The 15,775-nt window shown below is 38.6% G+C and overlaps 1 protein-coding gene across 11 annotated transcripts in view; it reads left to right on the forward strand.

The window, feature by feature from the left end:
* The window catches only part of POLA1 (DNA polymerase alpha 1, catalytic subunit), a 303,069-nt gene that overhangs the window by 154,037 nt on the left and 133,257 nt on the right, over positions 1 to 15,775 (forward strand). Inside the window, exon 35 of one of the 11 annotated variants that reach the window (XM_017029596.2) lies at positions 7,373 to 10,062. The exons of the other annotated variants lie outside the window; for them this stretch is intronic. Coding sequence (XP_016885085.1) covers positions 7,373 to 7,387 — 15 coding nt within the window. The 3' untranslated portion in view covers positions 7,388 to 10,062. Of the gene's footprint in view, positions 1 to 7,372; positions 10,063 to 15,775 lie in introns of those variants that run through there. 11 annotated transcript variants of the gene reach the window in all.

The raw sequence follows: 15,775 nt of genomic DNA on the forward strand, positions 1-15,775 counted from the left end.
TATTTTTTACGGCACTGACAACTCTGCATTTCAGTATATGCCTGTCCCCAACTCAATAGCTTTAATTTGTTTTTTCCCCAAACCAAATACCAGGCAAAGAGGCATTAACCAGAAATATCATCATGATGCACAATAGCACCTAGCCTAAATGTACTTTCATTGTCCAGATAGAAGAATCTATCTCTATATAACGTGGCAAAGAAAGTGGATGCCTAGCTTTGTTACTCTCTTTCTGTTCTCTCCTTGTATTTTTCTCTTTTACTTCTTAGTATATTGTGTCATAAGCCACATTTTAAAATCTCTTTTGGACCCACATTTATGAGGAATTTAAAAAATAATGTGCAGTGTATGTCGCCTTATGATGCAAAAACTTCCTTATGCACACGTTTAAGCACTTAGGGAAGAAGAGAGCATTTGACCAATGATGCTGAGCCTTAGCATGGTAGCTGTGAGTTCTTTTGGACGAGGCCACACACCAGGAAGTAGAGTAGGATGTTTTGTAGTGTATGAAGATTCCATATTAAGCTTGTTTTTCATCTTTGCAAGTTAAACAAAAAAACTTTAAAATTTTAAAGTGGATATGCATTCCTTGAAGACAAAATTAATAACAACCCCCAAGCATAATGTTGTTAAGCCAGGGATTGAATTAGAGCTGCCTTTTATCAAAAGTGCAATGAGGGCAGGGTAAAATATTGGTTAAAATATTTGCTCCACAAAAATACCCATTTAGCATCACAAGTAAGCACAATTCATGGCTCCCAACAATACTTGAAAAAGGGTAATTTTGTTAGGAATGCACAAAACTAAATAAATAAATCTGATAAATTAGAGATGAAGCAGCCTCCCACTCTATCCCTCCTGCCCACACCCATGTAAATCACTAACAGGGCTTCTCATTTCCATTGTCTTTCACTTCTCAACAGAGCTATCTTGTGCAGGTGGACCTGTGAGTTTTAGAGCCATGCAGTGGCATTCAGTAACTCTACTGTAGTTTCATTGCAAATATGCAGTGTTCAATAACCCTCAAAATTTCTCATTTCTTACCTGTGGTGATGTGGTTTGATAGTTTTTAGGTTATAGGTTGCAATATGCAGTAGAATCACAGGTATATTAGTTCAAAAAGTTTAAGCACTTTTGGAATTATTGTTTATTTCCTTGCTTCTGCATTTATATTTAGAACATTTAAATAGAATAAATTTGGTTTCTTTTTTGTAGACTCTAACAGCATAATTATAAGTGGTACAAAGGCATACAAAGAAGCAATAGATATCCATCCCACCCATTCAACATCACAGGCAGCCCAATCCATGCTGCCCAGCAGCGCTTGAAGAAGGATAATTTTTTTAGGAATCCATAGAACTCATCCTAAATCTTGTTAAAACCAAATGAAAAGAACATATTGAAAATTAGTATTTATTTTCGCTTCATAGTATTTGATTGGGAAGCCAAACATAAATGAATGTCAGGGATACCAACTGCATTTTTAAAATGTGATATTCTTTATGTTTATTCCTTTTTTATTGTTAATTTTTAGAGATAGAGTCTTATTCTGTCACCCAGGGTGGTGTGCAGTGGTACGATCATGGCTCACTGCAGCCTTGAACTCCAGCAATCCTCCTGCCTCAGCCTCCCAAGTAGCCAGGACTACAGGCACATACTACCATGCCCAGCTAATTTTTTTTTTTTTTTTTTTTCGAGACGGAGTCTTGCTCTTCGCCCAGGCTGGAGTGCAGTGGTGCAATCTCAGCTCACTGCAAGCTCTGCCTCCTGGGTTCTCGCCATTCTCCTGCCTCAGCCTCCCGAGTAGCTGGGACTACAGGCACCTGCTACCAAGCCTGGCTAATTTTTTGTATTTTTAGTAGAGACGGGGTTTCACCGTGTTAGCCAGGATGGTCTCAATCTCCTGACCTCGTGATTCGCCTGCCTCGGCCTCCCAAAGTGCTGGGATTACAGACGTGAGCCACCACACCCGGCCAGCTAATTTTTTATTTTAAGTTTTGTATAGACAGGGTCTCACTATGTTGCCCAGGCTGGTCTTGAACCCCTGGCCTCCAGCAATCCTCCCTCCTTGGCCTCCCAAAGTGTTGAGATTACAGGCGTGAGCCACCATGCCTGGCCTTAAATGTGGTATTCTAACACCAGTGTCCATTCATGGAGGGTTGGTATGTTTTTATTCATGAATGGCTGATTTTTGTTGTTATTGTCGTTGTTGTCAAGCAAGCTCATTTTGAGTCAGGTATAACATTTTGCTGCTATGCCATGGCATGTTCTCACAGAAAAATTAAGAAACAAGGGACTGGTGGTGATTGGAATAGAATCTCATTGTAAGTAATTTATCCTTGTACAAATCTAAGTGAATAACAGATCAAATCCAATTCCCTAAAACATGCCAGCTATGTATTCTATACAAGCAGCTTATCATGGTATATAGTATTAATTGTTGTAAAGGAGTTCTAATAAGCAAATAAGTTCAGATGCAGCCATTTATGCCACTTGACTTTTATCCTTCGTAGAATAACTAACATTTACCTGTATTTTCTACATTTATCAGAAGACCCCTTTCTCTTTTATTTCATTTAATCATAATCTTATGACATGAACCCGGTTTGGGGAGGCTCAGATCTAGAGCATGATTTTGGGGGACTAACATGGAACCATCACCAAATTCTGAGGTGCTGAAACTGCAGAGAATATTGTTGCCTATTGAGGACTAACCCCCAGAGCCACTGACGAGATCTGAGCTTGGGCCGTAGTCTCTCCCTTACCCATATCATTTCCCACATATGGATATCCACCCTCCTAAGTTTTTTGTCGGGGATGGAGAACTATATGGGATAATGCACTTAAGGTGCTGAGAAAGTGCCTAGAGAGAGCTCGTTATTAATTATCACTGTTCCAATCTGAGACATAGTGAATGAACATGGCTCAGCTGTGTTCCTTTTGTGTGCTCAGAAACACCAGAGATTCAGACCTGGGCCAGGGCCGTGATGCCCAGGTCTTTTCAAGGTATCTCCAAGGTATTCATCTGGAAGCTTTTGTCTTATGCTCTCCCTCTCACATCCATTTAGAAGGATACCAAACTGTGCTGTGTTTCCTCTTGGCCCTCCCTTCAGTTTGCCAGTAAAGTAGTTTCCTTTTCAGTGTTGGTGAATAGAGTCTCAAAGTCAGCATTGGGAAATGGATACTAAGCTATAACTCCTTCAAGGCAATAGCACAGAATACTGCAGAATACTACAGCACAGAATATTACAATAGCACAGAATACTGCAGCACCCAGTATTGTGCCTAACGTGATAGGTGCTCGGTAAATTTTATTGAATGAGTTCACGATGTCCTGAGAGGTTGGTGCTATCAAGTGACTCTCCCAGGTCACACATAGTAGCATCAAGACTGTGACCATACTTGGAGACCCTAGTCCGGTATCCTGCCCATAATAACTTGGAAGACAGCCAGTTATGGATACCAAGTTGCTTAGCATCTTCTTTGCAGTCACTCTTAGAGCAGGATTGATCAAGAGCCTTCGCTATTCGCATTACAAGCTAGGCCAGGTCACAAGGCTGACTGGGGCATGAGTCCAGAAGGCTGATGATAGCCATCCAGCAATGGACTAGTACAGCCATTGAAAGGAAGCACGTGTTGAACCTGGGGTTTCAGCGACTTCTGTTATGGTTTGCCTCCTCTGACGGGAAAATTGAAAGCTTTCTGAAATGCTGAGGAAATGCCATAGGAGTTGTCAGATATCTGAAAACAAGTGGGTAAAAACAGAAAACTACTTGTGCCAAAACAGTAGAATTCCTTTCTTCAGTTTGATTTCTCTAACCTGGTGTATTTAGGAAAAACTCAACTTCAGGTCTAACTCCAGTCATCTAGAGCTACTGTCTTGTAGTAGAGTAAGAAATTGAACCAGAACAGATTTCATTTAACCTTTCAAAAGTGAGATTTTCACACAGTTGACCTTCTTGACTTCAAGGAACAAAACGGGACTATCAGTTCTCTGCTGCATGCGTCAACAAGAGATGGGAGGAGAGCGCCCCAGGCGATGGCTGTTTTTCATATTTGGTTTGCCCAGAGAATGTACATTTTGGTTCACATATGGAAATCAGCCCTTTGTAGATAGTTACAGATAGGAATTTCCAGATGATCCTGTCTACCTTAGTCTTGTCTTAATGGAATAACCATATTTCTGTTTAGGAGTGGGTTAATTCAGCTGCCTTTCCAAGGTACCATGGAAAAATTCTCTAAGCCTGGATTCCAAGAAATACTACTATTGATGAGAATTAGAGCACTGGTGTTTTTCAAATGGTGGGTGTTGGTTTGTTTTGAGCTTGGCATAAATCACGTGTTGACCTTAGCTTGCTTTTTTTTTTTTCTTTGAGACAGAGTTTCGCTCTTGTTGCCCAGGCTGGAGTGCAATGGCATGATCTCGGCTCACTGTAACTTCTGCCTCCCGGGTTCAAGCGATTCTCCTGTCTCAGCCTCCCAAGTAGCTAGGATTACAGGCGCGTGCCACCACCCTCAGCTAATTTTGTATTTTTAGTAGAGATAGGGTTTCTCCATGTTGGTCAGGCTGATCTCGAACTCCCGACCTCAGGTGATCCACCTGCCTTGAACTCCCAAAGTGCTGGGATTACAGGCGTGAGCCACCATGCCTGGCTGACCTCAGCTTGCTTTTGAAAACCAGTGTATAACTTTTTGTCTTGGTTCAAAACTCATCTGACTCTTGACACTTCTTCCAAGTTTTTGTTTTCGTTTTTACTGTGCTATAGTGTAACTCTCAGGGTGGGTAGTTTTGTGAGGTCCATCACCCAGCTTGTTTCCCGGAAGATCCTTGGCCTCATTCAGACCATTCAAGTGCTCATGGTTTCTTGGCTGTTTGAGGAGCTCTTGATGTTTCTGGGAACCTAGATGATTTGCCAGCCCAGCTCTCAGGAGCCCAGCCTAGCAGGGCTTCCGTCTCCATCCACCATCAAAGAATGTTCAAGAATCTTGGCATCAAGTGGCAAGAAAAAAAGAAAACTACCCAGGATTTACATCTATATGTATACTAACGATTTATAAATCATGTGGATAAAGTTATGGCTAATCTTTTGAGGATGATTTCTCTCAACTACAGCTTTCCCTCAAGAGCCACTTCTTCCAGAAATTGATCAGCAAAGAAAGATCAAAGGAAAGCCCAGATTCAAGAGAGACCTCTTTAAAATTTTCCAGCAAAATAGATTCTCTTACTGACGAATGTATGCAAGTGGTATAGCACAGTGGTTCTCAAACCTTTTGGTTTGTGGGACCTCTGTATACTCTTAAAGTACTGAGGAAAATGAAGAGTTTTAGTTTATGTGGATATTCTTTTTTTGTCACTACACCAAATCTGGTAATGATATGGTTTCTTAAAGGTTATTTACAATGTGGAATCTGAAATCATATCGGTAAACTTTTTGTGCTCTGGTATATTAAAATCCATTGCTCTGTCTTGCACTTTGAGCAGATCATTTACCCATGCATGATTTTGTAACATCATGCCTTGGTCACTTAGAAAATACTGGTTCACTGACATGAAGAATTTCCAATTCATTATATAGTTTTTTGAAATCGCATTTGTTCATATCATCACCAGTCTCATCAGAAAAGTCTAAATATTGGGAAGCTGTTGAGCTCATCGTGGTGGATACAAATGTTCCAGTGAAAACTAATTGAAAGCTAGAAATTTGTCGTTGGTTACAAATACTGTCAGTTGGTTTTTCTTGAGGTTACAGGATCAGTTGGTTAATTTTTGAGAAGATGTCTGCCAGATACCCAGGTCTGGATAACCATAGTTATCTATCCGTTATTCTTTCAAGTAAAGATGGTATTATTTGAACAGAGTGGTTAGTTCAGCTTGCAGCTCAGACAGTTACACAGGTGCTTTTCCTGGAAACAAATACTGTACTTCAACACATGATAATAAAAGGATATATATTTAAAGGTTGCAATTTAATAAAATTTTACTTTCATTGAGGACTTTCTTTAGTGAAACTGGCTTAATTTTCTATTTGTTAGATCCTGAGCATGTGATGATGAGAAATACAATGATGAATAGTACAGTTTGGGGCCACTATGTTGTTGTTGTTGTTTTGAGACGGAGTCTCACTCTGTCCCCCAGGCTGGAGTGCAGTGGCGCGATCTTGGCTCACTGCAACCTCTGCCTCCTGGGTTCAAGTGATTCTCCTGCCTCAGCCTCCTGAGTACCTGGGATTATAGGTGCCCACCACCACGCTCGGCTAATTTTTGTATTTTTAGTAGAGACAGGGTTTCACCATGTTGGCCAGGCTGGTCTTGAACTCCTGACCCAGGTGATTCACCCCCCTCGCCTCAACCTCCCAAAGTGCTGGGATTATAGGTGTGAGCCACCGCGCCCGGCCACGGGGGGCCACTACTTTGATTGATGCTAATGTGCCAGGAGTTTTACCCATCATTGACTTTGCACCATTAATGCAAATGTCAACACAGTGAAAAAACACCAATAATATCATCGTAATATTATAAAAAATGTTTTGACTTTATGGACTCCAGAACCTTCACCTTTGACTGTAGCAATTTATCCTAAAGAAATGTACCCCAGGCCGGGTGTGGTGGCTCACGCCTGTAAGCCTAGCACTTTGGGAGGCTGAGCAGGCGGATCACCTCACGTCAGGGGTTGAAGACCAGTGTGGCCAACATGGCGAAACCTGTCTCTACTAAAAATATAAAAATTAGCCTGGCGTCTTCGCACATGCCTGTAATCCTAGCTACTTGGGAGGCTGAGGCAGGAAAATCGCTTGGACCCAGGAGGCAGAGGTTGCAATGAGCTGAGATTGTGCCACTGCAGTCCATCCTGGGCGACAGAGTGGGACTCCATCTCAAAAAAAAAAAAAGCCCAAAATTTATGTGCAAGAATATACATTGATGAATTATTCTTTTTGGTAGTAAAAAAAATTGGATATATCTAAGAATAAATGTTTATTAAATACATTATGCTATATCAATGGAAAAGTATATGATCTGAGCAATTGTAGCAACATTTTGTGAGAATAAAGACACAGGAAAATGTGAGATAAATGTTAACGGGGGAGAAAAGGAGGAAACAGATTAGTATATAAGGAATGATTCAGTTATGTGATAAAGATACTATGTACATATAGACAAGTGTAAATAAATAATTGGAAAGATAAATACAAGAATGTTAATAGTGATCATCTTGAGTGGTAGGGATATGGGTGTTTTAATTTGTGTCTTTATATTTCTGTTAGTCTAAGTGTTGTACAATAAGCATGTGTTACTTTTGGGGGGAGGGGTGTTGTTTGCATTTTGCAAATTTATTTTTAAATTTATATTCAGTACAATTCACTCTGGTTTACAGTTCTGTGAGTGTTGACAAATGCATAGAATCATATATCTACTACCACAGTCAAGATACAGAACAGGGTCATACTTTCTGGCATGATCTTCCATCTGCGACCCACCATACTGAATATGCTGCCAATCCCAAAGATGCACAGAATGAAACTTTGTAAGGTGTGTGTTTCTTTGCTTGGCAAGGAGTGGGTAGGTACATGATCTGTGAATATAAAATGAAATTTGAAGGACAATTCCCCCAAAGGACATTGGAGGAAAATTCTAACATTTCCATTGGAGCTTCGTCACAAGAAAATTTCAGCTCTGAGGATTTGGGAAAGAAAACTAAATCATATCTTCAATTCATTTCGTCCTTCCAGTGGGTCATGAAGACAGAGAACTTCAACGCCATGATCAGTGGTTCCAACAGTCAAGTAGTCATCCCTACGTATACTAGGGGTGGGGGGCAGTGTTCCATGTATACCAAAACCCGTGCATACTGAAGTCCCACACTTGACCCCGCAGAATCCTCGGATAGGAAAAGCCAGCTCACCATATGTGTGGGTTTCATGTGGTTTGGTCTAAAACAATCCATGTATAAGTTGACCCACACAGTTCAAACTTGTGTTCTTCAAGGATCAGCTGTATATTTACTACTATCGCTTTCTAGAAATTAAACCTAGATATTAAGCCATGTAAAAAGATAACTTTCCTATATTCAAATATGCATCCATTTTAACCTACTCAAGTCTATAGCTGAGTTTGTTCTTTTACAAATTTGAGCATGTATATAGATTCATACATTCACCACCACAATCAAGATAGAAAACAGTTCCTACAAAAACCCTAAAAACTCCCAAAATAGTCCTATAAAACTCCCTCCTGCTATTCCTTTATAAGCACACCCTCCTTCCCACTCCTAACTCTGTCAACTATGATATGTTCTCATCAGTAGAAATTTGTCTTTTCGAGAATGTCATATAAATAGACTCATACAGCCTTTGAGACTATCTTCTTTCCCTTGGTTCATTCCTTTTATTGCTGAATGTATTCTATCATATGGATCTGTCAGTTTGTTTGATCCATTTACTCACTGAAGGATGTTTGGATTGTTTCCAGTCTGGGGAAATTATGAGTTCAGGTGCTATAAACATTCACGTACAGGTATTTTGTCAGTGCGTAAGTTTTCATTTCTCTAGGATAAATATCCAGGGGTAGGGTTGCTGGCTCATATGCTAAGTGTATGTTTCACCATTTAAGACATTGCCAAACTATTTTTCAGAATGGCAGTATTTTTTTCATTCCCGTCAGCAGCGTATGAGAGTTCCATTTACTGGGCGTGCTCACTGGCACTTGATATTGTTGGTATTTTTTATTTTAGACATTTTAATATGTATGGAATGGTAGCTCATCATGATACTAATTTACATTTCCCTAATGACTAATGATGTTGAACATCTTTTCATCTGCTTATTTGTCATCCTTATATCCACTTTGGTGAAGTGTCCCAAGTTTTCCCCCATTTAAAAAAAATTGGATTTTTTTTTTTTATTGCTAAGTTTTGAAAGTTCTTTATATATCCTAGATACAGATCCTTTGTTGGATATGTGATTTGCAAATATGTTGTCCCAGTCTGTAGCTTGTCTTTTCATTCTCTTGATAGTGTCTTTCACAGAGAAAAAGTTCTAATTTTTATCAAGTCCAGTATATCAATATTTTTCTTTTATTGATTGTGCTTTTGATCTCATGACTAAGAACTCAAATATTATCTATGTCTATGATCCATTTTGAATTAATTTTTATAAAGTTAGGGCAGAGTTCAATTTTTTTCTTTGGTCTGTGTGTGTCCAGTTGTTCCAACACCATTTGCTGAAAAGTCTGTCCTTCTTCCACTGAATTGCTTTTGCACCCGTGTTAAAAACCATTTGAGCATATTTGTGTGGGTCTATTTCTGGACTCTTTGATCTCTTCCATTGATCTCTCTGTTTATTCTTTTGCCAATACCACACACCTTGATTACTGTAGCTTTATAGTAAGTCTTGTATAGTGCAATTCTTCCATTTTATTTTTTTCAAAAATGTCTTAATTCTAGTTTGTTTGCCTTTCCATATAAATTTTAGAGTCAGCTTGTCCTTATTAACAAAATTTTTATTGGAATTGTGTTAAATCCGTATCAATTGGGGAACAATTGACATCTTTATTATGTCAAGTCTTCCAATATATGAACACTTTATGTCTCATTTATTTGGATCTTCTTTGTTTTCTTCCATTAACATTTTATAGTTTTCAGCTTATGGGTCCTGTACATGTTTTGTTAGATTTATATACCTAAGGAGTACCTTTTGGTTCTCAAAAGAGTACTGAGGATCCATGAAATGTTAAAAATATTCTACATAAATGCATTGTTAATATGTAGCCTTTAAATTTTATTTTGTAAACCTTTATTGATTAGTTCAAATATTCAGCCACATAATACTGCCAAGTTTTTAAAATACCAGCTTTTGTATTGTAATTTTACTTTTGTAAAATTCTTAGATTTACATAAATATCTGTATGTGTATATACGCCTAGAGAGATTTCTAAAAGGATTTTTAAGGGTTTGAAAACCCTTTAAAAATACATGTTAATGAATTCTAATGTACCACTGAATAGTTAACATGTAATTACCATGTGCTATATATGAGAATATGAAAGTAAAAGGTATATATACTTTCACGCCTGTATCAAGTTGATTGTGTACTTATAAATAAGAAGGGAGTTAAATTTCTAAAACACAAAAATGAGTTCTCATGTGACCCAAAATAATTTTTGGAAAGCAAAAATAACCATTGTATCTTCTTCGTATTTATACATTTTTAGTGGGAATTTACCATGCTTCTTAAGTCTTCAGATTTATTGCTGACTCTTGACAAATAGTGGATCATTAGCATTGCTCAACCTCGCCTCTTCTCTGTTGTGAATATGATTGTATAAACCTAGGTGAGGAGTAGTGTGCATAGAAATGTCATCTTTCCTGTATCTCTTCTAGGGGACCTGCCTAATGATTTCATGACATCATCTGATCCAGTATGCTGAGGAATTATGGTCTTTCCAAGCTTTTAAAGTAGTTTTGAGACCTTCAGTTCTGTCACTACCCTCTCGACCTTGACTGTGACTCACCATAGTCTCTTTTGGACTAGCTTCAGCTTTCCATCTATAGGAAGTGCCTAGTTTTTTGCACAGCCTAGCACTCCATGAGCAGGGCCTGAAAGTCAAAATGGAGCAATCCCTAGGCTGCATTTCTCAATATTCCTTGTAGGAATCAGATAACAGAAATGGGATTCTGCAACTTCTTCAGCATATAGGAACTTGAGTGAAAATACAGGACTGCCCATCTTTTGAAATGTTTTGGCCTTCTTCACAGTTCCTGTGGGAACTTTGAAAATTTTTCAAACTTGTTTTACTTAGCTACCTGTCTACACAAGCATGTCAGTACTGAAGTAGGCTGTCTGAACCCTCCTCCCTAAACACCATTTTCCCTGCTCTCACACACCAAAAGTATTTAAAGTGCCTTCAAAAAGTGATTTTAAAAGAGGATTCCATTATTGTTAATATACATTGTATTTTGCACAGTACCTTGCAGTTTTCAAAGCATTTTTTATACTGTACCTAGTTTGTCCCTCACAGTATTCCTGTGAGGTATTCAGAGCAATACCCTCCAGTATTTCCCAGCCCAGGATGACCAAAGCCCACAAGTTTCCACATTGGATATCGTGGTGTTGTATTATATTCCACTTACATTGCCTTTTCTTCCATTCTCACTGCTTTAATTCAATTCCTGGTCATCTCGTTCTTAGCTTGCTAATCGATCTCCCTTGTCTTTGTATCAGTCCATTCTCTATATCATTTCCAGGATTATTTTTCCAAAACAGGATTAATGTCATCTTCCAGGTTAAAAACCTCCTGTGGTTGTTCATTTCTTACCGATTAAAATTCAGATTTGGGAGCACTGCATTAGGCCCCAAGCCAGCCTTTCCACCTTCTCTACCCTCAGTATCCCTTGCAGACCATCTGCCTGCCGCACTGGAGAGCTTGGCATTCCTCAGGGATCCCTTATGCTTGACTATCTCCACACTTTCACTCCTGCCATTTCCTCTGCGTAGTACCATAGCCCACCACTTGTGACATCCCACTTTGTGAAATTCTTCTGCCTTCAGTGGTACAGTCTCTGGAAAGCCTTCTTCACTCAGCTGTCCAGGCAAAATGTCTTACTGTTTTCTGCATGCTCTCATAACCTTTTGTACACACCTCTGTGGCAGCACCTACTGCCAAGTTGATTGGCTCTTTTTCCCTCACAGGCCTTGAGCTCCTTGTGAACACAAGCTGTGCTGTGTTGTGTTGCGTTTAGCTTCATGTCACCTGAGCAAAGCATAGTGCCAGGGACATGGCTGACACAGGATTTGCTTATTTGAGCAAGGGAGTGATTTTTGGAACCTTCAGAAAAGCTGTGGGTGTAGTATTTATGTTTGATGGAATACCCAATTCTTACTTTTTATTGTTAATGACTTCACAGCCAGTGGATGGCATTTTCTAAAATGTCATCTTTAATCTCTTGCTGTCTAAACTTCAATCACCTTAGGAATCTCTAAGAAATTAAACTTAGTCTTGCATCATACACATACACATATTTTGCAGGTTTTCACCTTAAAATTATTTTCTGTGTTTCTAGCTTGTTCTTGAACCACAGGTGTGGTATTGATCTTTTCTTTTACTTAATAGCACCTTTCCTGCCCTCACGACCATGACCAGGAAACTGGCTTCTTAGCACCAAGGCTGATTTTCAAATTCTTGTTGGTTTAGGTTCTCTTAAAACTAGTCAGTCATATCTTTTTCCTATTAACACCATAATTAAATACCCAGAGTACAGTTTTGAGAAGCCCTTAGCACCATGTGTATATACATGTGTATTTGTCTGGTTTTACATGCTCTTTTCCTAGCCCTAGCATGCACAAGTGCACTCTTGCACAAGAATGACAGAGCCTAGTTGGCTTTTGCCTCCTTTTGGAGAGCTGTTATATTTATTGGTCATATGCCCAGTGGACTTCCTTCCTGTTCCATACTTGACTGGTAGTTATGGAGCACCTAATTGTCTGACAGAAGAAGATAGTTCAGCAGAGAAGGCTCATTATAGAATTGTATGGCCTTGATTTCAGGGAACCTGTCCCCTTTGTCTACCTTCAGAATGGCTATTTCCCATTTTTGGAAGATAACTTGAGTATGTGGTACAGAATTAAGTATTTTCAGATAATAGTAATGCAGTATTTCATTTCTGTTCTGGGGTTGCTAGTAGAAGCAACTCTGTAGGAATAAGCTAGAGCAAAGGAGTGAACATGAGTTTAGATGGCTTTTCTTTTTGTCAGACCATCACTAGCCATTGATAGAAGAGCTGTACTTTTGTGTTACTTTCCTTTTGTCTTTAACAGATAGAGTGAAATATAATTTGCAACACTTGGAACCTTGTAAAAGACAACCAACCAAACAGATAACAAACCAAAAAGAAATCACCTAAGTCACACACTGGATAAAGCTTTCTCTGAGCAGCCTCTGACTCCTTGGACAGCAGTCCCTCCCCTTTCAGAATCCTAACACCCTGTCCCCACCACCACTCTCTCAGTGTTCTGTTGAGGGCAAGAGTCAGACACCTAGCTTTTGTGTTTGGCTTTAAAATCAAAGTTGTTTTATCATGTTAAACTGCCAGGACCATGTCTTCTTGATGTAAAACCCCTGAAACATCTATTACAATGCCATAGACTCAGCAGATACTCAGTTGTTGTATTTTTTTATTTTTGTTTTGTTTTGTCTTTTTTTGAGACAGGGTTTCCACTCCCTTTGCCCAGACTGGAGTGCAATGGTGTGATCTCAGCTCACTGTAACTTCTGCCTCCCCAGCTCAAGCGATTCTCCCGCCTGAGCCCCCCAAGTAGCTGGGGCTACAGGCAGGTGCCACCATACCCAGCTAATTTTTGTATTTTTGTAGAGATGGGCTTTCGCCATGTTTCCCAAGCTGATCTTGAACTCCTGGGCTCTAGTGATCTGCCTGCCTCAGCTTCCCAAAGTGCTGGGATTACAGGTGTGAGCCACCACACCCAGCCAACACTCAGTTTTATGTGAAGTCACACTCTCTAGAAGGATCTGAATTCCATTTCTGTATTTATAAGCATGTAGATTATAGGAACAACTCATTTTCTAAACTAATGCTTTACCTGGTTCTCTGGTAATCTTTTTTGTGATTGGAGGCCATCATCACAGAAGTTAGATATCCATCACGATGTTTGTCTTATGAGAAGAAAAGATGGGCTATTTGGAAGAAACAAATTAGGTTTTGGTAATACTAAGAGAATCAGTTGTATATTTCAGAAATTTAGGGAACCTTTTTATTTGTTGAATTTATAAGTAAGACATGCATGATGTCTAACCGTTACCTAACCAGAGAATTTACTTCAAGCCAAATTTTGAACTGCATAAATGTTAACGTTTATGAAAACGGGTTCTAAGCAATTCTTTTTCAGTTGTGGTGCTAAATGTCTGTAGTAAAAAGTATATAAATATATACTTGCATCTTTATGTATATTTCTTTAAAAATTTGTTTTATGATCTAAGGTTTAAAAAATTTGATAATGCTGGCTATATGCACACTTTTTTTTAAGTCAGGAATCGTTCCTTTTCTTCTAAAGTAGACAATCAAAATAAGCAGTTTGAAGAGATTGATTTAAGACAGCAAAATTGTTGTATCTTCAGCTGTGTAAAAGAAATACTGCACCTTGGACCAGAAAATGTATATTAGTGATGGTTTGGTTAGTGACTGCAAAAGCAAAATAAATACCATAGTATAAAATACAGTTTCACCTGACAGCATGTTTGACTAGTACTAAACATCTGCATTTAGGGAGCAGTTAGTACTAAAATGTGTTCTGCTTCTTTGCATGAAAATACATTAATTTGAAATCTTACAGTGCCTTTCTCACTGATTAATATTAGGAAGAGGTCTGGTCAGGTCTTGTTGATAATTTGTTTTCTAGAAACGTGGGGAAAAAGCATTTTTCACAAACCTATCCAAAAAAAGTTGCCTTATTTCTCCTCCTTAAGCCTTTCAATGACTTTGCAGAATAAGGTTGCATCATTGTTTATTTTGGATGTGGAAGGTTGATCAGAACATTGCTTTTTACTGTAAAACGGCAGTGTAATGACTTAAATAATAAACTTACAGGCACAGGGAGATTTTCTTCCCTGTGTTAGTTAATCTTTAAACAATCTCTAGCATTAAGAAAAAAGATACTGTTGAAGACCCCAGATTGCAAAAGCAGTGCCACTTCTTTTGAGAGCTTTGGGGCAATCCTCTGATGTGTAATTGCTTTACATCAGTCACAAGAGAGAGACAAGAATGTGCTTTCCTTGAACTTAACAGTTTGGGCAATTTTCTATAATCCAGTAAATACAAATTGTAGCTTGATTATTCATCTACGTCTGTCAAGCAAATTTTAATGGATGAATGAATGAGTCAAATCTATGCATGGAAATATACAAATGTGCAAAATATGGGTCTAATTACCAGGCTGCTGAATTTACACAAGGTCAGGTAAACAAGGCACCAGTGTAATGATTATTAATTGTTAATAATGCCTTTGGGAAAACATTCACATTTTCCTTCTGAATACCTAACAGTTTGCCTTTCTAGTCATTTTAAACTCTGAAAATTTTAGCTGGTCTAAAAAAACAAAAACATTTTTGTCCTACTTTTATCCTTTCTCTATAATTGCTTACTAATTTTTTTAGAATAAAGGTAAAATGTAATACATTTTTGAGGACCCTGTTGAAAATCATAGTTTAATATGATGGTGAAAGAATTAAGGGGGGTAGCATACTCACAGAACAGAATGAAATAGCTGCTATCTTTTGTCTTCATTGAAGGGAAGAGTATGCCCCCCCCCATCTTCCACCCTCTTTTCAAACCTAATCGACATTCTACAACACAAAACCAAGGTGGTAATAAAGGAAAGGAAATCAAAGCAGGCTTTTTTCCCCTCTATTTACCATAGTAAGTCAACATTTGACTCTGTCTTGATATTCTATAAAATGAATGTTGGAAAAAGAATAATATCAATGAGTAGTTTCCCATCGAAATGCCCAAGGGCCGAAATAATTGAGGGAATACTTGCCAAGGTTTTTCTTAGTTCAGTAACTCTTGATCACTGTGCAGTTGTGTAGCTGTGCTATCATTAAGGGCTCTCCATGTCTGGAAGGACACCCCCCTCTCCCAGCTTTAATCCAAAAGTCATAAATTGTAGAACTAACATGTCGTCTACGGGTCACCCAGGCGAAAACACTGCATCTTGAGAAATCTATCTTTGTGCCACTGTGCTTTGAAAATCTTTTGAATATTTTGCATTAAT

This window comes from Homo sapiens, chromosome X (assembly GCF_000001405.40).
Source record: "Homo sapiens chromosome X, GRCh38.p14 Primary Assembly".
In the NCBI taxonomy this organism is placed as follows: Eukaryota; Metazoa; Chordata; class Mammalia; order Primates; family Hominidae; genus Homo; species Homo sapiens.